The following is a 24,918-nucleotide window of genomic DNA, read 5'->3' on the forward strand; positions in this document are numbered from 1 at the left end:
AGGGGTGGTGGGGGAAAGACAGAGGAGGGAGGTGCCACACACTTTTAAACAGCCAGATCTCAGGTGAACTAACTGAGCCAGAACTCACTTATCACCAAGGGGATGGTGCTAATCCATCATGAGGGATCTGCCTCCATGATCTAGTACCTCCCAGCAGGCCCCACCTTCCACACTGGGGAACACATTTCAACAGGAGATTTGGAAGGCATGAATATCCAAACCATATCACCCACTTTTCCTTATGAATTTCTACTTATTCTTAACTTCTTTGCTTGTTTATTACCTATTCTCTGGGGCTTTTTCAGTCACCCAGGAGGACGGGCCCTTCCATGGGCTCAGGTGGCACTTTGCTGGTTCTTTTCATATAGGGTTTGTTAGGTGGCAGGGTCATTATGTGCTTGTTTTTTTTCTCAGCCAGACTGCGAATTACTTGAATTCTGCCTGTACATACTTTTCATGTCCCTGGTGTTAGGCACAGCATTATTGCTGAATAAAGATCAGATAAGTCCAACGGAATGAAAGGGAAGGTGATGAATTTTCAGATGTCATGCTGACTTTTTTCTTTGCTTTCTTTCTGAGTTGCAGGTGTTTAAAATCCCTAGGGAAGAGATAAGGTGATTTATGTTCAATACATTGGTTCCTGTGAGAATGAAGGAGGGAGATTATTCTGGGTTTGTGTGGGGCCTGGGTTTGGGGCTTGGCCTTGAAGGCCTAACATTTGAGTTGGCAGAAGGGAGAGGGGCACACCCAGCCGAGAGAACAGCATGAGTGGTGCACGGGAATGGGTTCAACATGAAACGACACCGCCGCCTTGAAACTGGAGCTTCTGGGCTTTTCTGCTACACCCAATAGAGCCTTTTATGGCATAGAGAATCTCTCAAAAGCCTTGATTTGTTTGTAGTCAGCCAGAAAGATGTATGGGCCAGCAAAACATTTGCCATGTTGTGGTTTGAATTTAAGGTAAGTTTCTAACACATGGAATATGAAGTTCAAATACTCAACATGCCTTTTTTGGTGGTAAACTGCTATTGAAATATGGGCCCATTTGGTCTAAATTAAACTCATTCTTTGGATATTCTCTAAAATCTTAAAACCGCCAGTAATCTCACATTTAACTGGCATGTCTTCTGTAGTCAGCCTGACCCGCGTTTCCTTTTGACTGTCTCCTTCAGATCGGTAGGGACTTTCAGCATTGCTGTAATGGACTTGTGTTGTTTAATTCAGCTTTTTGCTCTTTATCTGGAAGCACTCTGGCTGTGATGTGGGGAATGAAAGGTATTGAGGAGAGTCAGGGTTAATCGGACTTGTGGAGAGGACAGCGATAAAGGACTCTTGTAATAAAGGAGGATGTTAGAATCCAGGAGAGGGTGTCATTGTTAAGACACATCTTTCAACAGTTGGAAACCTTTTAAAATATTTTTAAGGCACAACCCAGAGTACTAAAAAAGGATGCCTTGAAACTACCGATGCCCCAGATTAAAAGCTTTCTCCCTCAGAAGTTCTGATTAAAATTGGTCGTGCTCTCAGAAGTGCCCAACAGGGTAGAGACAGTCTTCCTCAACATGGTCAAGGTCATAACTCACAATTTTACTGACTCTGATTATTCTGGGGACCATAGGCCTTGTCTTTGGTGGAGTGAGGACTAAAGGAAAGTAGGTAGGTGTGGGTATGGCCTCCATCCCAGAGTCTTCTCTGCAACAGTTGCTGGTTTTTAGTTTTTGCTGCTGATTACTGAAAAATTTAGTGCTACAGATGTTAAAACAAAAGCTCCTCGAGGATAGGGACTTGGTTTTGTTCCCTAATAAAACCTCTATTGAATAGCTCTATCCAATAGATGTATGCTGTGCCTTCATTATATTTAAATATTTCTAGTTGCATTAAGACAAAGTAAAAAGAAAAGTGAATTTAATTTTAATAATATATTTTATTTCATCTGATTTATGTGAAATATTATCTCAACATATAATACATATAAAAAATTATAGAGATGCTTTACTTTCTTTTGTACATTCTTTTTTTTTTTTTTTTTTTTGAAACAAGTCTTGCTCTGTTGCCTGGGCTGGAGTGCAGTGGCGCAATCTCGGCTCACTGCAACTTCTGACTCCCTGGTTCAAGTGATTCTGCTGCCTCAGCCTCCCGAGTAGCTGGGATTACAGGCATGTGCCACCACGCCCAGCTAATTTTTGTATTTTTAGTAGAGACGGGGTTTCACCATGTTGTCCAGGATGGTCTCGATCTCCTGACCTCGTGATCCGCCCGCCTCAGCCTCCCAAAGTGCTGGGATTACAAGCGTGTGCCATCGCACCTGGCCTGCACATTCTTTTGTTTTCAGAATCTAGTGTATATCTTATGCTTACCGTATATCTCAGTTTGTACTAGTGCCATTTCAAATTCTTAATGGCCACGTGTGACTACTGCCTGTCATATTGGACAGTGTGGTGACTATATTAGTCAGGATTCTCTAGGGGGACAGAACTAATAGGATAGATGTATATATAAAGGGGAGTTTGTAGGTCCCACAATAGACCGTCTGTAAGCTGAGGAGCAAGGAAGCCAGTCCAAGTCCCAAAGCTGAAGAACTTGGATTCCAATGTTGGAGAGCAGGAGACATCCAGCACAGGAGAAAGATGTAGGCTGGGAGACTCAGCCAGTCTAGTTTCTTCACGTTCTTCTGCCTGCTTTTATTCTGGCTGTGCTGGCAGCTGATTAGATGGTGCCCACCCAGATTGAGGGTGGGTCTGCCTTTCCCAGTCCACTGATTCCAGTGTTAATCTCCTTTGGCAACACCTTCACAGACACACCCAGGAACAATACTTTGCATCCTTCAATCCAATCAAGTTGACACTGAATATTAACCATCACAGCGACTATATCTGGTATATGGTAGATGCACAGTAAATATCTGTAAAATGAAGAAAGGAAGAAACAAAGGGAGAAGGAAAGGGAAGGGAAGAAGAAAATGGTAACATTTCAAAGATGAATAAACAGATGAACCCTGTTTTACTTGTTTTGGTGTGTCCTGGCAGCTCCTGACTAGAAGATAACTGAATGATCCTTTTATTTTTAGTTTAAAATCATTTTCAAATGTATTATCTCATTAATACATACCTTCAGTACCATTGATTTAGACAGACCAAGTTGATCTACTGAGGCTGTGTAAGGTTTAACCAGGATCCAAACTTGAGTACTTTCTTCTCGTTACTGTGAATTTTCTCATTGGTTTGTGTGAAAAATCTTCCCTATGAACAGTAGCTGGCCCTTAGTTATGGATAGATATTAAAAGAAAGACTGTGGCCGGGCGCAGTGGCTCACGCCTGTAATCCCAGCACTTTGGGAGGCCAAGGCAGGCAGATCACCTGAGGTCAGGAGTTCGAGACCGGCCTGACCAACATGGAGAAACCCTGTCTCTATTAAAATTACAAAATTAGCTGGGCATGGTGGCGCATGCCTGTAATCCCAGCTACTCGGGAGGCTGAGGCAGAAGAATTGCGTGAATCTGGGAGGTGGAGGTTGCAGTGAGCTGAGATCGCGCCATTGCACTCCAGCCTGGGCAACAAGAGCGAAACTCTGTCTCAAAAAAAAAAAAAAAAAAAAAAAAAAAAGAAAGACTGAGTAAATATTGTTAATACAGAACTATTTAAAAATAGTTGACTAGGCCAGGTGTGCTGGTACCCGCCTGTAGTCCCATCTCCTCAGAAGGCTGAGGTGGGAGGATCCCTTGAGCACAGGAGTTCAAGGCTGCAGTGAGCTATGATCATGCCACCCTGTCTAAGGAACAAAAGAAAAAAATAGTTAGCTAAAGGTCACATCTTAAAGTTTGTCTTTAATTCAGTAATCAAAGACATCATTACTGTAGCCAAGAAAGGTGTGTGTGTGGCTTCTGTAGGTGTTTAACACAGGCTGTCTGAATAACAGAAGGCACATAAAAATTTGTTAAATAAAAAGACTTTATGAAAAGGTATGCATACGTATGTTTCAAACGATTCTTCTAGATAACCATTTCACCTCTGCAGAAGTTGTTTTCTAGCAGGAATGTGTTACGATTTCTGTTCTACACGTGGAGAATTGTCTTTTATATAGAGGAAACTACTTAACCAGCATCGTAACCCTTCGTTGCTTAAATTATTGGATTTTGTGTCTTTCTTGTTTCTTGAGCCATTAAAATGGTTGGTTTTACTGTGCTTAACATTTAAATAAAAACCTAAGGCAGATGCTTTTGGTATGATTCAATTTGTTATGCTAAAGATGAATCCAAGTTAATTTCTAGAGTATCAGTATGATACGAAGACATTGCATTTCATCTTCCTTTTGGATAAAAGCCAAGACAGATCACTCTGCAGAGCAAGGTGTGTTGTTAACTGAGATATCAGTGCACAGCACATACTTCATACAAGGTGTTCAAATATTTGAATTTGTGAGAAATGACTCTGGTGTGCAGAAAATGGCATTTATTGAGAAGGCCTAAAATATGATTTTTAATTTTCCCTAAGTCAGTAGATACTGCAAAATACTTTGTTCATTATTGTTCATTTTAGGATAATGTACCACAAGTTTGAAAAAGTAATGCAAAAATTATTCAATAAAAGATACAGACGCAGGTTTTTGTCAAAGCAGAATCTACCATCTAGACTTTAATTGACCCAAGCTACAAAGAAGTTAAGTCTAATTTATCTTATGTATTTGGGAGATCATTCACAAGGAATTATCTGCAAAACCACATGAATATTATTATCTACTGTGTACATTAAGGATTTAAGAGTGCATAGCTTCTACACATACTTTAGCTTTTCTTTTCATAGCCTGGGGAAATGCTATGAATGCACCTAACTGAGATTTTAACGTAATTGAAGCTTACCCTTTCCGTGTCAAATTCCAGACTCTAGAGGCACTTTGTTGGCCCACACGTCACACGTGCTCTTCTTTTTTAATAGGATAACTTAGGATCCGCATGGATAGAGAGAATGAGAGGCTAAAGATATTTCCTGCAGAAAATGGTAGAAGCTTAAATACACGATTGCATGAGTGACAGTCTGAAAGTCTCTGAAAGTGGTTGTCAGCCCTGGCTGAACATCAGAATCATCTGTGGAGCTTTAGGATCTTAAAGCTGGCCAGATTTATTTGTTTTTAAATCAAAACCCTCCCTAGTGCTACCTACATTTTAGCCAGGATTCAAATTTTTCATTGAAGAACTTTCTGAGGTTTGTTGATTCTGTAGTCATAGTGTGTCATATGTATTTTTTACCACCTTACCTATATAAATAGGTTTTTAGTTTTTGTTGTTGTTTGGTAGAGATAGGGTCTTGCTGTGTTGCCCAGGCTGGTCTCGAACTCCTAGGCTCAAGCATTCCTTCTAGCTCGACCTCTCGAAGTGCTGGGATTACAGGCATGAGCCACCGTGCCTGACCTGTTTATTAGAATTGATTTCTGATGAATCACCAAAGATTTGTTTGTCTGATTGTTTCAAAGATAGGAAGACTTGATAAAGGGTGAGATAGGGCTGGTTCCTCTGCAGGAAGTCCTGAGGGAAACAGACCCCTAGGAGATGGGTAGGTAATTGTAACTGGAGAGAAGAGGGACCAGTGGGTCAAAGCTTAGGGGTTTTAAGAGGAAAGAAAAATGAGTTGTACAAGGCATCTGTCTAGATGGCTCAGTGGGTAATAGATTTAACTAACTGGAAACTGTGCATTCCTTCATAGTTTCTATGTTTCCCTTTTGCCACCTTTGACTAGTTAAGGAAGATACATGATTGATGATCATTGCTCAGAAAATCTTTTACTTATATTTGAATTTCTGTTTTTAAGATAGTACCATTTGTAGGAAATCTGACATCTACTTAAAGTGGTAGTTTTTTCCACCACTATTTTTTATATTTTGTGTAGTCTTAGACATAGAAAGGCACTTTAATCTCCCATTTCAGATTTCCTGTAGATTGCAGGGGACAAGTGAGATGTTTCATATTTAGGAATATTGAGTATATTTTTCTTCATTTCTTTGGTAATAGGCAGTGTTTTGTGGCATACTTCTCAACTTTTTAATTAATTGGACTAAAGTGTGTAGTAATGTAGGTAATGGGTCTTTGTGTTCCTCACATTTAGTAGAGACTCATCGTCAGGAGCCCACCCTTTCCTCGGTCTGACATGCAGACTGTCAGTGTGGTGCTGTGTTTCCTCATCTGAAGGGCTCGGAGGAGAGTGGGAAAGGGAACAGTTAATATCCAGCGGACAAGTGCATTCGCTGGTACTAGTTTCTGATTTTCTAGTATTACCTGTAAATATAAGTCCTTTGTCACATGTTGTCAAGATTTCCATCTTTTCAAATCCAAAGGAGATTAGAGAGTAAATGCAATTTATGAAGACTGGGGTAGGATGATAATTTGTAATTTTCTTTGGGACTGAAATTTCTTATCCAGCATTCCTTATGCTTATACCATTCAAATAAAGTATGACAGTGAAAAAATGGTCCAGAAACCTGTTTGATAAAACCTAACGACTTAAAATGATACAGCTGTTTCATCCTAAATGTGTTAAACAATCCAAATATTTTCCCCTCTGATTATAAAAATCTTTATTATAGAAAAATTGGAAAGTACAATAAAGCATGAAGAAGAAAATACAAATCACCAGTAATCCCACAACCCAGCAGCAACTGCTATTAATATTTAAACTATTTCCTTTCAGGGTTTTTTGGAGGGAGAGGCAGCCATACTCTTGTATCGTGTTTATGAACTTAATATTATGAGCATTTTCCCATGTACATAGCTATTCTTCAAAAACATGGTTTTTATTGGTTGTTTTGGTGCCCAAATATTTTTCTTTAGTTTCAGTGTTATTTAAAACAGCATTCATAATCCCAGCACTTTGGGAGGCCAAGGGAGGTGGATCATTTGAGCTCAGGAGTTTGAGACCAGAGCCTGGACAACATGGTGAAGCCCTGTCTCTACCAAAAAAAGAAGAAAAAAAAATTAGCCGTGCATGATGGCATGTGCCTGTGGTTCCAGCTACTCGGGAGGCAGGAATGGGAGGATCACTGGAGCCCGGGAGATGGAGGTTGCAGTGAGCTAAGATCGCACCACTACCCTTCAGCCTGGGTGACAGAATGAGATCCCACCTCAAAAAAACAAAAGCAAAAACAAAAACCCCACCATTCAGGAATCTGCTTGCGTGTCCCTTCCTCCACGACACCTTTTCTCCACAGAGGAAGTGAAAAAAATCTCCACTGGCCTTCTATAGAATTTTGATTTTGTTGCTGCGGTGACAATATATCTTGCTTCATGTAATTTTTAAATATATGTATCTAATTCTTCATCTGACATTTATTGAACCCTTCCTTTGGAATAGACACTATACTAAGACTTCACAGGACAATGACAGTGGAAAGGAAATAGAAAAAAAAGCCAACAAAAATTAGTTTTGTGCCTGTATTCAGTATCTTTTTTTTTTTTTTTTTTTTTGAGACAGACTCTTGCTCTGTTGCCCAGGCTGGAGTGCAGTGGCCTGATCTTGGCTCACTGCAAGCTCTGCCTCCCAGGTTCATGCCATTCTTCTGCCTCAGCCTCCCGAGTAGCTGGGACTACAGGCGCCCGCCACACGCCCGGCTAATTTTTTGTATTTTTAGTAGAGATGGGGTTTCACCGTGTTAGCCAGGATGGTCTCGATCTCTTGACCTCGTGATCCGCCCGCCTTGGCCTCCCAAAGTGCTGGGATTACAGGCGTGAGACACCGCTCCCGGCCGCATTCAGTATTCTTAGTCTATAGGCTGGGAATGTAGACATTACTTAAATAATCACACATATAAATGTTAAATTATAACTGTGATACGTGATTTGAAGGACAGGTAAATGCTGCTTATGAGAACAGTTCATATGAACAAGAATTAGGTGTTTTATTTGACAACAGATTTAAAATGATCCAGGTCCTGTAGTTCTGTAAAGGTCAGTGCTAGCCAAGAAATAGCATGTTCTGCTCTGAGAACTTAATGTGCCTATGGTACTCTACCATGGTTAGAGAACATGGGGGTTCTTTTTGTCGTCTTCTGACCAACTAGAGTACATTCTAAAGAGTGACTCTCTAAGGAGAGTACATTTTAAGGAGAGAGGGAGACAGTTTCAGAAAGGAATTCAAGTAATGCCAGGTTGGGAGGACCGTAGCAAGTGATTCTGAGGAAAGAAGGCACAGGGAGGACATTGTGGTTGTCCAGTGTGTAGTAGTAGATCAAGGTGTATTGAGCAGATTCTTGCAGAGTTGAGAAGTAGACTGCTGTACTGGTTCTCTTTCCATTCTAAGATTCCACGCTGTTAAAGATTATCTGAAGCCATTCAGCATCAGGTGGGTATAAGAGGACCCTGAGGATGATTTTCAGCCTATGTCCATTTAGGTTTGGAGGAAGAGTATCCACCCATTCTCCTTGCCCTCAAGTCTCAACTCTCCAAGCAAGAGGAAGCCAGAGAGGCTTGGGGAGCGCAGGAAAGCTATAAATCCCAATACCCATTATCTCCTGAGGACAGACAGTCTCCGGTGCAGGCAGATGCTTCAGGAGTTCCCCATAATCTGTAGGATGGAAGCTGAGTGCCTTAATATGGCAGAGGCCCTCTGGATGTGGCTTCTGCCTTCTCTGTTGATCGCTTTCTTCTCACTCGCCTGTCACCGAGCCTTGTTTGTTCTAGTGGTAGTGAAGTCCTTGCATAATGTGATTTCTTGCCTTTCAGTGCCTTGCTGTTTCTTCTCCCTAAACATTCCTCTGATTTGCTGAATACATTCTTATTTTCCTCTCAGGACCAGCTTAAAAGTTAACATCTGTAGAGTTTTTCTGCTTTGCTCAAGTTAGTTACTTCATAACACATACCTCTGTTACAGTACTATTGAAACTTTTTTTTTTGAGGAGTCTCGCTCTGTCGCCCAGGCTGGAGTGCAGTGGTGCGATCTCGGCTCACTGCAAGCCCCGCCTTCCGGCTTCACACCATTCTCCTGCCTCAGCCTCCCGAGTAGCTGGAACTACAGGCACCTGCCACCACGCCCGGCTAATTTTTTGTATTTTTTTTTTTAGTAGAGACGGGGTTTCACTGTGTTAGCCAGGATGGTCTCAATCTCCTAACCTCGTGATCTGCCCGTCTCGGCCTCTCAAAGTGCAGGCGTGAGCCACCGCACCTGGCCGAAACTTTTTATTTAGCTTACTCCCCTAGACCATAAAATCCTTAAATACAGGGATTATGTATTCTGTTTAACTTTTCAGTGCCTGAAAGCTCTCAATAAATGGCCCATTCTGGGCATTCAGTAATTTTTCAATGAATGAGTATAATTCTCACTTGCCTTACCATATTGATACTTTATTGTGGCTGTGGCTTTGGAATTTAACATCATGAGATATAATAAATACATAGTTGAACTTACCGATTGGTTGATTTAAACCTTTGAAGTGTGTAAGAGTGTACTTTTCTTGACTCCCTTATTAAATATTCCAATAGGATATCGATATATGGAGGGGCATTCCTAGTTTCTAGCAAGACCACGTTGTATTTTGGATTACCTTCTTTTAATAGTACTCCTTAAAAATTGTCAAGTTATTATAATATTTTCAATAAGAAACACATCTTAGGTCTAAAAAAGGGTAAAATGAGGCTAAGGAAAATTTAAAATAAGTAATTGTGTAAAGAAAGATGATATTAATATGCATTTGAAAGTGCAGGAAATCTGTGGTAAGAAATGTTCCAAATTAAATTGGGTGTACACTATGGACAACTAAAGAACAGATTGTGTTCTGATATGGTGTGGAGCTCATAGTTTGCCAAAGCCGATTTGTAAAGTCTTATTGGACCACACTCATGCTAGCAGGACTTGCTTTAGTAATAGCTTTGTGGCTGGGCGTGGAGGCTCATGTCTGTAATCCCAGCACTTTGGGAGGCTGAGGCAGGAGGATCAGATGAGGCAAGACGTTCAAGACCAGCTTGGGCAACATAGCAAAACCTAGTCTCTATCTTCCCCACACCCCACCAAAAAAAACTTCAGCTGGGATTGGTGGCATGTACCTGAAGTCCCAGCTACTTGGGAGGCTGAGATGGGAGGATTACTTGAGTCTGTGAGGTCAAGACTGCAGTGAGCCATGATCATGCTACTGCATTTAAGCCTGGGTGATACAGCAAGACCCCATCTCTAAAAAAATAAGAAATAATAGCTTCGTAGTTCAGGTAACACCAGTGGTCTGGTTATCCAGGGCTGATCAGATCCTGGAAAATCTGATATGCTTAAACAGAATTTTTTGAATATTGATGTCTACTAGAAAGTCACTTGTTAACAAGCAATGAGAGGTAAATTTTCAGGCAGACAAGTATTTGATAGTAGAATAAGCAAATCCTGTTCCTAGCTGGCTAGATTGCTAGGGCAGCGTTGTTATCTTCAGAAAGCTTCTTGGGATGTATGCGCTATCAAAGCCAGCAAGGGCGGAGGAAGGTGTTGACTTGCTACCCAAATTTTCTTCTTTATCCCCTGCCAACATATCAGCCTAGATCTCTTCAGAGAGTTGTTCTACTGGGCACTCATCCTTTCTCTCATAGCTTCTGGCTGATTCTAATCAAAATAGGGTGTGCCTCCCCTATTACCTTAGTTTAAATTTCTCCATTCACCAATTAATTATACAGCATTAATTTCCAAATGTCCATTCATTAACTGGAAGCCTCTATTACTATTATTTTGTAGCTAGAAAATGGTTTGTAAAATGGTTTGAAGTTACCAGAATATTATGTCATTCATCTCCTGCTGCATTTATGTATTATTCTCTAGACTTGATGAATGATACTCAGATCTTGTTCATAAGAGAGAACTATCTTGCTTGAGAAATGTCTCTGGTGTGACGTCTTCCTCTGTTCAGACCTTTTCACCTATTCTCCAGCCTCTCCTGCTATAGACATCCGTTGTAATAATGTTCATTTAAAATCAGCAGTGAATAAAATGACCTCATCCAAAAACAAACTGTTTAACTGTGTATTTGAGTTTAGTGATCTGGAATCATGTTTGAATTAAGTGATGTGGATTCCTATTGCAAAAAACATTGTAGATACTCCTGAAGTTTGTAGTTGAATAATGTGCCCAAGGTACCATCTAAAGTTAAGATAAACTTAAGGTGACCTGCTACTGACTTCGCCTGATGGATAAGCAGTAAGGAGAAGGATAGTTAAAATAATTTGTGTGATTCGTTTTAATACTAACTCAAAAGAAGAAGCTATATTAGAGCTTGTTAAAAAAATTATTTTCATCATTTCAATTAATGGATAAAAAATTTGGGTGTTGTCATTTTTAATAATGGGGCTGCATTATATAATATGATGCTATTGAAATAAGAAAGAGAAAATCTATAAAGGCATAATTATAGCCAAATGTGCAGTTATTTTGGTCTCTTAGTTTGGAGAGGGCCCTTAGGAAATTTTTCTTAAAAAGAGTTTGTAATGATTCATAATTTCATCAGATCTACAAAATACACTTCAAATACTTTCAAGAAAGAAGCTTTGATGTAATAACAGAGAAAAATATGCGTAATTTTGGCAAGTGTGAAATTGTCAGCCACAGAGCATGTGTTGTTTTGTTTTGTGTTTCACTGGACCGGCAGAGTCCAGTTTCCTTTTTGAGTTGTACATAGGCTCATACTATGACTGTTTATGCTGCTAACATAATATGATGAGTGAGGCTTTGGGATTGATGGTTAAAAATGACTCAAAGGCTGGGTGTGGTGGCCATGTCTGTAAATCCTAGCGTTTTGGGAGGCTGAGGCAGGAGGATCATTTGAGGCCAGAAGTGTCAGACCAGCCAGGGCAACATAGCAAGACCCTGTCTCTACAAAAAATAAAAAACAATTAGCTGGGCGCAGTAGGACTTGCCTGTAGTCCCAGCTACTGGGGGCTGAGGTGCGAGGATCACTTGAGTCCAGGAGTTTGAGGCTGCAGTGAGCTATGATTGCTCTGCTTTGCTCCAGCCTGGGTGGCAGAGCAAGACCCTGTCTCTTGAAAACTCAAGAGCTGGTCCTGCTGTAGACCACACTAGGATTCTTTTCACTGAGACTCCTCTTGTGGGCTTGAAGACCAGGACTGTGTCAGCACCAGTGTTGTTTCCCTTGGCCCAGTATATGGAGGGATTTATATTTATTAAGTATGAAAACTATGCGCCAAGTACTTGCTAGAAACTCTATATATGTTATTTTAGTTAAGGCTTTTTACAACTTCAAGATTAAGGAATTAGTCTACATATTTCAGCCACCGAGTAGTAACTTGCCCAGGGACAAAGTAAGGGTAAGTCTGAAACTTGGCTTCCCATCCAGGTCTGATGATGGAGCTCATGCCTTTTACACTCCACTGTGATGTCCTGTGCTCCTTAGAGAAGGGAACATAGTAGCTTGGAGAACATTTCTTGTCCTATCTTGCTTAAGGTGTCAGGATCTCCTTCTGTATGCATGGTCCAGATCATTTAAAAAAAAAAATCCTTCCGCCATCTAGCCACTTATCCATTTATGCATGCATCTAGTAAATATTTATTGAGGACTTATTCTGTGCCAGGTGCTGTTCTAGATCCCATCAATATGCTGGTTACCAAGCCTTCTCTGCCCTCTTGAAGTTTATACCCAATTATCTAAAGACTTTTTATATAGTGAGTGTGGGGAAGAGGGGAGTGTCTGGGTTGTGAAATCAGTTCACTTGGGTTTCTCAGCCCAGTGCCAGACTTCTAGCAGACCCTCAAAATGTGTTAGTTTCTTTTGCCTCACTTATTTTTACCTAATTTTTATGCTCCTGGCCAACTATTGTCCCCTGTTTGTTCATTTACCCTTGTACTTTGACTTGTTGACTTGGGTTTGTGTGTTTTTTCTCAGTTCAAGATCAGTCCGTTAATCTTTAGAAACGAGCATGTCCTGCAAAGCAGTTTGGTCCAAGTGGTCAGTTATCTGAGGTTGAATATTAAGAAGGTGTTATGGTAAAACTGATACAATTTTTTGGTAAAAACTTTTTTTTTGCTCTTAAGCATTAACCCTAATTACGTTGTGTATCTATAATTTTATGTTGTTTTGAGTAGCATTGTTAGTAGTTTATCATATGTTATATTATGCTACATGTGTCATTTAAAAAGGTTTACTATATTTAAAAATGCCATGTAATGAGTTAATGCTAAAACTCATTAACAAGAGCATTAAAATTAGATTCTATTATGAAATTCATTGAGCAAATGCTATTCATTATGGAGAATCTTGAGTTAGTTCCATTTGTGGAATGTTTCTTCTGTAGAATATCTTATATTTTTTGACAAATTTAAATTATTTACTGACGTTTTTTAAGGTAAACTAAATGGACAAATTTCAAAATGCCCATTTGGAGCTGAGTCTCTTTCTAGGACCGGCCTCTGTGTGGCTAATGGATGATTCTGACTGTTGAAGATAACTATTAATAACTTCAAAGGTCAGTTGAATGTAATATTGATAGAAATACTGTTTCTGAGAATAGTGTATTTATTTTATGATGGTGCAGTTTCTTTCTTTGGACAACAGTATAGCCATCTTCTCCAGTCCTTCAAGCCAAGGATTTTAGTTGACTTTGGTCCCATTTTTCCTCCATCATGACATTTAATTGTTTTCCGTGTGTTGTCAGTTTTATCTCTTAAGTCTCCCTTACATTCATTTCTTTCTTTATTCCCACTACCCCAGTTCAGATCCCAGTCATGTCTCACCTAAAAAATTGCAGCAATCTTATTAACTAGTATTTCTTTATATATATATAATAGTATCTTATTACTAGTATTTCTTTATTCAGTATTTTTCCTCTTTCAGGCTGTCTTTCACAATACTATTGAAATTTTTTGGGGGGTGGGTGGGGAATAATGTGTGTGTGTGTGCACACATACAGGCACATATGGTTTTGATTGTGACAATTTCTAATAAACCTTTTGGTAGCTGCTCACTGCCTGCAGGCTAAGTTAAGCTCCTGAGCAGGTCATTTAAAAACTTCATGGAATCCTTCCAGCCTTCCAGTGCCAATGCCTCAGTCTCTCTCCTTGCCCTTCTAGTTGCTTCCATCAAATGAACTATTTTCTCTGCAGTTTGGTTGTTAGTGGAGTAGTGCTTTGTTAGTATTATTTGCCAAGTATTCAGACTTTCTTTTGTTCAGGCAGCCTTTTAATCATAAAAGCCACTATTTCATCTTGTTTGTACATCTTATGTAAGTACACAGGCATTTTTAGCATCTTAGGTGGCAGAGTTTGTGTTCTACTTTTAATTGACCTTTATAAGATGTGACAAATTCCCACACAGAGTTTCTTTTTTTCTTGAAAGGTTGATGGCCTAACTGGAATTAAATAACCAAAAAAAAAAATTTTTTTTTTTTTTTTTTTTTTTTGAGACGGAGTCTCGCTCTTTTGCTCAGGCCGGACTGCAGTGGCGCTATCTCTGCTCACTGCAACCTCCGCCTCCTGGGTTCACGCCATTCTCCTGCCTCAGCCTCCCGAATGGCTGGGACTACAGGCGCCTGCCACTGCACCCGGCTAATTTTTTGTATTTTTAGTAGAGACGGGGTTTCACCGTGTTAGCATAAATAACCAAAATTTAATTGCATTTCTTTAGATTAATTTTCAAAGGTTATTATGTTCCAGGTATTACTTGAAAGTTCTGAACTATTTTTGTGCATAAAATTATGTTTTCACTACAATCATGGCAATATTTTTTGTCAACAGCGGTTCACCTAGTGAATGTTGATACTTTGGGTTTGAGTGAAAATGAATTGTAGCATTTTCTTTTGCATTAATAAATACCGTACTCACTTAAACTACCTGATAGAACTACAAGTCCTCCAAGTTTCATTCAGATTAATGTATTCCCTGTATTTAAAAGTAGATAGTTACACATGAGCAGTGACTCCGAGTGACACGCCTTGTGTGGCTGACACTCTTGGGATGCTGAGATTTGATGATCATCTTTGTAATCTCGGAATGACTGATAGCACACAAGTTCATGGATGCCAGAAATGATGTAGAAGTAGGCACCTGAGTTCCCTGGCTTTCTGAAGGGTGAGGCCAAAGCTAGATGACAGACACCAGATAGATAGTAAGGACAAAGTAGAACTTTGTGGTCTTTTGCTGTCCTTGAAGTGGTACCTATTTACACTTTGTGTCCTTGCTGCTTTTACATATCTTTCTCTGTGAATTAGGTTGTGAACTTTTCAAAAGGAAGTTCAAGATCATCATGATCTTTGGAGCTCCACAGCTTTTTGCTCAGAACCTTATACCCAATAGATGTTTCATAAGTGTTTGAATTAAAGTAAATACATATTCTTAAATAAAGTAATAATTGCACTTTAATTAAAATCTAACCTGTTTGGCTGGTGAGGGTGGAGATAGATCTCAGCTTTCATTGAGGAGTGGCAACTAAGTTTAGCACTTATTTTTGAGAATAAGGAAACACACAGCTGAAATGATGTCATTTAGGACTGACCACTATGATGCTCATAACATGTTCCTTGATGCATATTCAAGTCCTGTTTCAGCTGTGAACTTCTGCTTTTCAAGTTTTTGTTTTGTCACTAACCAAATGTTTCTTAAATTCTAGTGAAGGGAAGAGGGAGGCAGTTGATGATGTTTGTATTATCCACCCCATCCGTTTCCTGTAAATGAGAGCAGTTTCCACGTAGTGTCTTTTGCCTATGTAGTCAAAAGCACCATACAAATGTGGGCTCTGGTTCTTTCAGTGAGAAGAGAGTTAAGAATGCACTTTTGTTGCTGCTGTTGTTTTTGAAACAGGGTCTTGCTCTGTTGCCTAGGCTGGAGTGCAGTGGTACTATCGTAGCTCACTATAACCCCAAACCCCTGGGCTTAAGCAATCCTGACATCTTAACCTTCTGAGTAGCTTGGACCACAGGTGCACACCACCATACCTGGCTAGGTTTTAGAATTTTATTTTGTAGAGATAGGGCCTTGCTATGTTGCCTAGGCTGTTCTTGAATCCCTGGCCTCAAACCATCCTCTCTTCTCTGCTCCCAAAGTGCTGGGATTACAGGTGCAGGTATAAACCACCACACCTTTTATTATTATTATTATTTATTTTATTTTTTTTTGAGATGCTTGCCCTGTCACCCAGGCTGGAGTGCAGTGGCGCAGTCTCGACTCACTGCAACCCCACCTCTCGGGTTCAAGCGATTCTCCTGCCTCAGCCTCCCGAGTAGCTGGTATTACAGGTGTATACCATGACACCTGGCTGATTTTTGTATTTTTAGTAGAGACGGGGTTTTGCCATGTTGGCTAGCCTAATCTCTAACTCCTGACCCCAAGTGATCCACCCGCCTCGGCCTCACAAAATGTATTTTTTGTATTTTTTTTTTAGAGTTGGGATTTCACCATGTTGCCCAGGCTGGTCTCAAACTCCTGGGCTCAGTCTGCCTGCCTGCCTTCACCTCCCAAAGTGCTGGGATTACAGGCATCAGCTGAGGTACCAGACCCAGCCCAAGAACTCACATTTTAAAGGTCTGAGCTTGCCATTAATATATCTTCTTGTCATCTTAATACCAAAAGTGACTTTTCTGGTGTGAAAAGTAGGTGGCATACTTTGTAAGGTGCCTTGAGAACCTGTGCTTTTCTCTGGGGGATTAGGACTATCTGTTCTGGAATTGTGCCATTTCAAGAAGTAAACCTACTTATTTTCATTTTAAAAATGGATTGAAGGCATCCACATAAACCATCTCGGGACTTAAGGCTATTTTGGCATCATTACATAAAGCATTTTTTATTTTTTTATCCTATCATATGGCACTTTTTATGAATTCATGCTTTGCAAAGGAGCAAATTGAATCTTAGGGAATGTTTGGTATTCACGTCAGCAGTGGCTGCCTTGGGTGGTCAAGCGGCACAGATAAGGCTGGAGGGATGTTGAGATTGTATGTATGTATGTGTTATTGATTCAAATATACTAGGAGGAATGAGTGTTGTGTTAACCTGTATAATATATACATATATACATATATATGTTAATATGTATATATGTTAATATATACATATTAAACATTACTGTTTTTAATTTTAAAATATTTCAAACAAACTGGAAAGGATAAGGAATAATATAATGCCTTCCAGCTTCATCTGATCTTAATGTTTTGTCGTATTTGCTTCAGGTCTTAAAACATTTTGGAAAAAGTTGAAGCTCTCCTTTTCTACCCTCCTGATTCTGTGCTTCTGTTGGAGTGCATATCACTTGATGGCTTCTAAGACAAATGCTAAATTCTTGTCAGATTACGCAGTGAGTAGTAGAGTGGTGGTTTCCTTTAGGGAAATGAAATTTATGTACCTCCCATTTTCAGGTTGCACTTACTGCAGCAGCCTCCACAACGAAGGAGCAGTGCTTCCAAAGAGGTTTAGTGAGCATGATATGGGGTCATTGAGCAAAATGAGAAGAGTATGTATTTTGAAAAGTAAATTTGATTGCTTATGGGTATTCATCTTCTGATTTGTTGTTTAGCTTAAGCAACATTTCAGAGCCACTAAGTAGTTTGTTCAGATTACTGTTAATCTGCTCAAATGCCCGAAGAGTCACTAAAACTGATGTTTTTCCAAGATGATTTTGTGCTGTAGTTTCCAAGGGTGTTCTTCTCAAGTTACACTGACTTGGCTAGTTTTAGTACTTTTCCTTGAACATTGCCTCCAAGTTAATGGGATTCTGAATACCTCTTTTTTACTTTCTTTATTCTTTTTTGGATAAATATAAAATAAAAAGGCTGCTTTTTTTTTTTTTAGTGTTACTTAAAAGCTGTCTGATTTAATTGTATGACGTATTTTTCTTTGTTGTTCGTCTGTTTGTTCAACTCTGCAGTTATATTAAACTTTATCATGTTTTACAATCAGAATTTAGTTTTGATAGGTTCCAGAAAACAGAAAGAAACATACCTGTCCTGAAATGTAGCTTTTTTGTGTGTACTCTAAAACATTTTTCTTTATATTACTTTCCTCAGTTAATGTTCCCATTTAACCCAATATTTTTTAGCAAAAGTTATATTTAGTTAAGGCAGATAGGCATAACTAAAAATATAAAATGTTAAATGAATGCTAAGAAAAAAATTAACTTTTGGTAAGTTATATATCATAATTAAGGAAAAACCAGAAAAACAGAAATAAAAAAATTTACCAGTAATCTTATCACTCATAAATATAAGATTTTTTATTTGTGTGTTTTTCCAGTTTTTTTCTGAAAAAATATAAAATATGCATTTTAACAGTTTGTTGTTAGTAACATGCATTTTTATGTAGCATTGTCAACAGTAAACTAATAATTTATAAATTATGCCTAAATTACAATTATTGTAAATAATATAAGGTGGAGGCTGCATAATACAATGGTAGAAACTTAGGCTTTGTATCAAGCGACTTAGGGTGGGATCCCTGCATGTCCCGTTATTAAGTTAGCTGTATGACGTTGGCCAAGTTACTTAACTGTTAGGAGTCTTTTCTCAAATAAAAAAAAAATATGGCTAATAATTACCTTGCAAGAGTATTATAGGAATTAGATGAAATAATGAGTCTCATTCATTCATATAGTGCTGGGAACACACTGAAAATTAACTTATTATTGAGAGGCAATATATTGATGGCATTGTATAAAAAAGGCAAGGATTTGGAATAGGATTGTCTTGGGTTTAGATAACAGTGCCACCACTTCTTAATTTATCTTGGGTAAATTTTTTTTTTTTTTTTGAGACAAGGTTTCTCTCTGTCTCCCAGGCTGGAGTGCAGTGGTGCAACCTCAGCTCTCTGTAACCTCCGCCTCCCGGGTTCAAGTGATTCTCTTGCCTCAGCCTCCTGAGTAGGTGGGATTACAGGTGTGAACCATCACACCTGACCAATTTTTGTATTTTTAGTAGAGATAGGGTTTCACCATATTGGCCAGGCTGGTCTTGAATTCTTGGCCTTATGTGATCTGCCCGCCTTGGCCTCTCAAAGTGCTGGGATTACAGGCATGAGTCACTGTTCCTGGCCTTGGGTAAGATTTAAAACTTCACTGATTATTATACTCCTTCCTAAAATAGAGATAATGCCCATGTCCTAGGATTGTTGTATTGGTTATGTGATGTAAAGAATATGTGCCTGGCATATTGGAGACACTATCATTATTATTTATAAGGGAAATTACTTAATTGGAAGACAATTAGATATTTGGTATTTAAAATTAATATCAAGGAGGAAGTTTCTAGATGTCCTAGATTTTATTTTTACTATTATAATAGTATTTGTGGTTATTGAGGACTGTGTGAACAGTTTTATAACTGCCGCTGTCCCCCTCTCCCTCCACATTTGGAATAGGTAGCCATCTTTAAAATAACATGTAAAGATGCACGTTTTTGAGAGACCTTCACATGAATAATGAAAAGCTTCTGAATATAATTATATATATTGAAATATGTGCCCCTATTAATGCCACTTATATGTTCATTGTAGATCATCTGTCTCCATTCTTCTTAAACTGGGTATCTTTCATAGCAGTGCCAAACAGACTTTTCATGTACTTCTCTGCCTCAATATTTTCTTTTTGAGTTTAAGTTTTAGAAGTACCAATTCATATTCCTTCTTTTTGCTAGCACAGTGTACCTATTAGTTATTTACATATATGTATAATGAGTTTGAAAAATGTTACATAAAAAGAATCTTGGCCTGGCGCGGTGGCTCACGCCTGTAATCCCAGCACTTTGGGAGGCCAAGGCAGGTGGATCATGAGGTCGGGAGTTTAAGACCAACCTGGCTAAGATGTTGAAACCCCGTCTCTACTAAAAATACAAAAAAATTAGCTGGGCGTGGTGGCAGGCACCTGTAATCCCAGCTACTCAGGAGGCTGAGGCAGGAGAATCGCTTGAACCCAGGTGGCAGAGGTTGCAGTAAGCCAAGATTGCACCACTGCACTGCAGCCTAGGTGACAGGCTGAGACTCTGTCTCAAAAAAAAAAAAAAAAAAAAAAAAATCTTAATCATATTGTTTTCACATTCTACTTTTTTAAAATGGCTATCCTTTTTATCAATTTATACTTCAGTGTTAGATCATAGAAGCAGTACCCTTCAAAATTAAATTCTGAGTAATTTTATTGTGAGGTTATAGTAAATGAGCTTGTGGATGGGTGAGCTCAAGCCAGCTGTGCAGCTTGTCTGAGTTGATGGTCTGGTTTGTAGTCTGGTTGCCAGTCCCAGTCTTCTGCTAACACTTCAGTATGATCACTGTATTTCCTCCTGTAGGCCACCTGGTGCCTTGCCTCTGAAACTACTATTTTATATCTATTGTAGGATGAAGCTTACTTTCCCTTGACTGCACACACACACACATACCCACCCACCCACCCACCCACATCACAGTGAAGAGACTGTTTTGGTTTCAGTTAAAGTCAGTAAATTAATACTTAAAATTTATAGTTTCATGACTTTTGCCAGAAAGCTAAAAATTCTGTTTTGAAGGTTGGCACTCAGGGGTGTAACTATAGTCAACTTTTTGTAAATTTGCATTGGATTGGCTTGCTTAAAAATAACTTTGGTAACCAAAAAGCATTCTTTTAGTATTTTAGGATCAAGATCAGGTAAAGGCAACTCACTTTTATCTGAAAATTTTAAAAGCATGTCTAGGCCAGGTGCCGTGGCTCCTACCTGTAATCCCAGCACTTTGTGGGCAGATCATCTGAGGTCAGGAGCTCGAGACCAACCTGGCCAACATGGTGAAACCCTGTCTCTACTAAAAATACAAAAATTAGCTGGACTTGATGGCAGGCGCCTGTAATCCCAGCTACTCAGGAGGCTGAGGTAGGAGAATCGCTTGAACCCAGGAGGTGGAGGTTGCAGTGAGAAGAGATTGCACCACCGCACTGCACTCCAGCCTGGGCTACAGAGCCCAAGGTTCTAGGGGGAAGAACCATTTTTCCCCTTCAAGTTTATTAAAGGACAAGGTGTTTTCTGATTTCACTTAAGTTATACATTTTTATTGTAAGTTTCAGTACTAGGACCAGCCTAACAGTAGGCATGTATTAACTATTAATTTGTTACAGGCCTTGAATTACATTTAGCATTGCAAGGCCGTCCATTTAAATTCTGTTATTTGATCCTAACAATAATTTTGTGAGTTAGGTAGGAAAGAATTTCATTTTACAAAGAACTTAGTAGAATTCCTTGGGCACCATTAAATGATGATTCTGGGGTTTGAATTTAGGACGTCTAGCTCCAATTCCATACTTCTTGTGCAGTGTCATGCTGCTTTCCCATACCGATCTGCAAATGTTTTGGTTCTTGGTATTGTAATAGTTCATTCATTCAACAGAGTTTTTAATGAATGTACAATTTTAAGCTCTAGGCATTTAAGGATGAATAAAAAGACAAGGTTTCCACCTTGAGGAAGACTCAGTAAATAACAAGTATCAAAAGTAATTATTGTGCCTATGGTAACAATGATTGGTACATAGTAGGTGCTCAGTAAATGCTTATTGCACAAATGAATGAGTGAGCAAAGTGGTAAAAAGGTAATAACAAGTGAGGATAGCTGCTTAAGTAGATAGATTGACCAGGAAAGGTCCTTCTGAGGAAGTGACACCTAAGCTAGGCAAAGAGCATTTTTCACAAAAGGACCAGTGCAGGCTGAGGACCTGAGGCAGGAAAGAACTTGGCTCATTGGAAGGCATCAAAGATGGCCAGTGGAGCTAAAGTGAGTATGCTGGGGAGACAGAGGTTCCAGATGAAATTGAAGAGAAATAACTAATCATGTAGGTCCTTATAGACCATAGCAAGAAACTTGGCTCCTACTCTAATGTTGGGGGACAGTTCTCCACTTGTCTCTTGTGTTTGTACATTGACTGTCTTTCTTCTGGATGATCTTTTCAAGGATGATTTGTATAGTGAATGGCCTTGGAAGAGAAAGAGAATGCCCCTTCTGGGGTAAAGGCCAGGCAAGCTTACTGCCCATTACAAAATATTTCAGTTCACTAAGCTCGGAGTTACTCTACTGTGACACAACCTGCTGTTGTGCTGAGGTCATCTTGTTCTCTTTGTGTCACCTGGTGGGAATTGAGGCTTAAGGGACTAGCACCAAAAAATACTGATACTTTGGCTACTGCTACTGCTGTAATGATGTCTTTTATCTCTGACCCTGGCATCTCATGTCTTCCACAGGCATCTATATAGCTGTGTGGCAGGCTAACTTGTTATCTCACATGTAGGGCAGAATTTTTACATTCTTCACATTTCTTGATATCTGAGGCCATGGGAACACGTTAGAGGCTTTTAAGCAGGGGAATAGTAAGATGTAGTTTACTAACCTTTTAACAAGTCAGTCTGACTACTCTGTGGAAAATGATCATGGGCAGAAAGAAGATTAATGAGGAATCTGGGGTAGCGTCTCGTCGAGAGATAACAATGGCTTCAACCAATGTGAAGACAGTGGAGATGGAGAGAAGTAAAGGAGTTAAGATGGTCTTTGGGAGGTAGAATTTATAGATCTTCACAGAATGGATGTGGGGTGTGAAAGAAGAATGTAAATGAATTGTAGGTTTTTGGCTTGAGCAACTGGGAAGATGAACTTCTGCTGAGATGGAGAAGCCTCAAAAATGAAGATAACTAACCTATAAAAATTTCTGATATGCTGTATATATTGCAAGGTTATAATGATTATATGGGTGCCACTGACATCTTGTCATCACTTCTTTGCCTTTTTTTTCAGCCATTTCATTTGCTTGTCTCTGTCTTTGCAGAAATTTTATGTTTAGAATTACAGGGACAGGAAGAATAAGAATAATTTTTATGACTTGGGGTCAAAGAACCATTGGGATGTGCTTTTCTGGGAAGAACACCTTTCTCGTGTCTTCATGGTTATCAAATCAATATTTAAGATAAGAAATACAATTCTTGTGGTCCCTTGATAAGAGGGTTGCCTCAATAACAGTAAATTAGATTACCTTGGGGGGATTTATTTTTTAATAAGCCATATTGATTTTTACCCAAAATTCATTATCTAGGAGTTTACAAAGAAATTCTTCAGTATGTTTCAGGATTTTCCCATTTTTGAAGTTGAAGTAATATATTTTTTCTTTTCTAGATTTTAAGTTTGTTTTAAAGCTGGGCTATTCTCCTTTAATTTTCAAGGATAATTGTTAGTTGTGTTGTGACCACTTAGGCTTAGTGCAGTAGGATGAACGAAACAAGTGCCTGTGGATGAATTTATTCAGCATTCTTCATTGAGATATTCTTTGGGATAACTTCTTATCTTTATAATGCCAGATGCTGATTTCATTAGCACCTGATCACTTTTCATAAAGAAAGTAACTAAAGTAGCTGGGCGCGGTGGCTCACACCTGTAATCCCAACACTTTGGGAAGCCCAGGCAGCCAGATCACCTGAGGTCAGGAGTTCAAGACCAGCCTGGCCAAAATGGAGAAACCCTGCCTCTACTAAAAATAAAAAAAATTGGCTGGGTGTGGTGGCGCATGCCTGTAATCCCAGCTACTCGGGTGGCTGAGGCAGTAGAATTGCTCAAATCTGGGAGGTGGAAGAAAGTAACTAAAAAGCTTTTAATAAAAAATACTCCTCACCTTGTACGATTGTGTGTTAAATGCTTTCCATTTTTATCTAGTGAGATTTATTTTTGATTTTGCTTCTCACCTGCTTATTGTATTTAGAGGATGAATTTACATGCCTTTGCTTTGATATACTGTAGACAGTTTTAGGCTGCAACACGAAGTTTGCATGAATTTTGAATTTTCTTTTCTTTTCTTTCTTTCTCTTTCCCTTCCTTCCTTCCTTCCTTCCTTCCCCTCCCTTTCTTCTCTCCCTCCCTCCCTTCCCTCCATTCCCTTCCCTCCCCTTCCTTCCTTCCCTCCCTTCCCTCCTTTCCCTCCCTCCCAGGGTCTCACTTTGTTGCCCAGTTGGGAGTGTAGCGGCATGATCAGGGCTGACTGAAGCCTGGAACACCTGGGCCCCAATGATCCTCCCATCTCAGCCTCCCAAGTAGCTGGGACTACAGGCGTGTGCCACCACACCTGCCTAATTTATGTTTTTTGTAGAGACAAGGTTTTGCCATGTTGTCCAGGCTGGTGAATTATTTTTATACCATTTTGTATGTCCTTTTATTTCTTTTATACTGTAGCATTTTCTTTGGTGTATGGCCTTGTTTCTAGACTTTTTCTTTTTAGAAAGGACAGGTTGACAGCAGGGGGAGATGGAGCTTAGCAGGATTTTTTGTTTTGTTTTGTTTTTTTGTAGGCGAAGCTAGGCTTAAAATTATCTTGGATTCAATTATATTCCACCAGTGATGGAAAGTCAACAATGGAAAGACTTGATTTCCTTTTAAATATAGTCTTAGAAAAGATGAACTAAGGTTACAAAATCATCAGTGCTGATCATGAGATTTTTCCAGGTGATGTGAGTTGTTATTAATGACTTTGATGGGTTCTGGAGATACCTCTACCAGAAATGCAGTTAGAATACAGTTATTTCTGATGTTTTGAGAAGACAATAATATTTTTTTTGCTTCTGTTATCTTTTTATGTAGTTCCATCTTTTTAGTTTTTAGAAATCAGTTTTAAAACATCCTCAGATAGTAGAGTGGTATTTAAGCTTCCCAAGTGTCTGGTCTTTGCTACAGAGAAGCATTGTTCTGCTTTCGTATTCCTTTATATGAATTCTTCAAAGAGACTCAAATTTTGTCACTAATTTCATGTTTCATGCTGTGGGCTAAGCAGTTTATAGTTTTACCATATTTAGGCTAGGTTTAGAATTTTACGAATGGTTTGCTGGTCTTCTGTCTCCTGTCCCCCAGTTTCAGAATAAAAGAAAACAAAAACAACGAGTAATAAGATTTTCCCAGGGCCTTTACTTAGTAACTGAATTGGGCCTGACTTGGTAGCCTGTGGAATGTGATGGGGACTCTCGCTCGAGGATTGTTCACATAGCTCTTGCAGTGCCAA

At 39.3% G+C, this 24,918-nt stretch overlaps 1 protein-coding gene and 1 non-coding gene across 54 annotated transcripts in view, besides 1 other annotated feature; both read left to right on the forward strand.

The window, feature by feature from the left end:
- The window catches only part of SIPA1L1 (signal induced proliferation associated 1 like 1), a 420,734-nt gene that overhangs the window by 63,199 nt on the left and 332,617 nt on the right, over positions 1–24,918 (forward strand). For 18 of the 53 annotated variants that reach the window (XM_047431227.1, XM_047431215.1, XM_047431240.1 and 15 more), the window contains exon 1: positions 15,645–17,244. The exons of 31 other annotated variants lie outside the window; for them this stretch is intronic. The gene's annotated coding sequence lies outside the window, so the exon portion shown is untranslated. Of the gene's footprint in view, positions 1–15,644; positions 17,245–24,918 lie in introns of those variants that run through there. 4 more of the 53 variants (XM_047431217.1, XM_047431218.1, XM_047431243.1 and 1 more) reach the window with 2 other exon arrangements.
- Positions 8,753–8,822: an enhancer, noted in NCBI's record as "active region_8674". NCBI's record gives its function as "activates an Ori minimal core promoter by ATAC-STARR-seq in GM12878 lymphoblastoid cells {active_cell/tissue: GM12878}" and the evidence as "EXISTENCE:reporter gene assay evidence [ECO:0000049][PMID:35858748]".
- On the forward strand, positions 14,663–14,733 carry SNORD56B (small nucleolar RNA, C/D box 56B). Its single transcript, NR_001276.1, has one exon. It is a non-coding gene; the product is annotated as a small nucleolar RNA, C/D box 56B (small nucleolar RNA).

Source organism: Homo sapiens, chromosome 14 (assembly GCF_000001405.40).
Source record: "Homo sapiens chromosome 14, GRCh38.p14 Primary Assembly".
Taxonomy (NCBI): domain Eukaryota; kingdom Metazoa; phylum Chordata; class Mammalia; order Primates; family Hominidae; genus Homo; species Homo sapiens.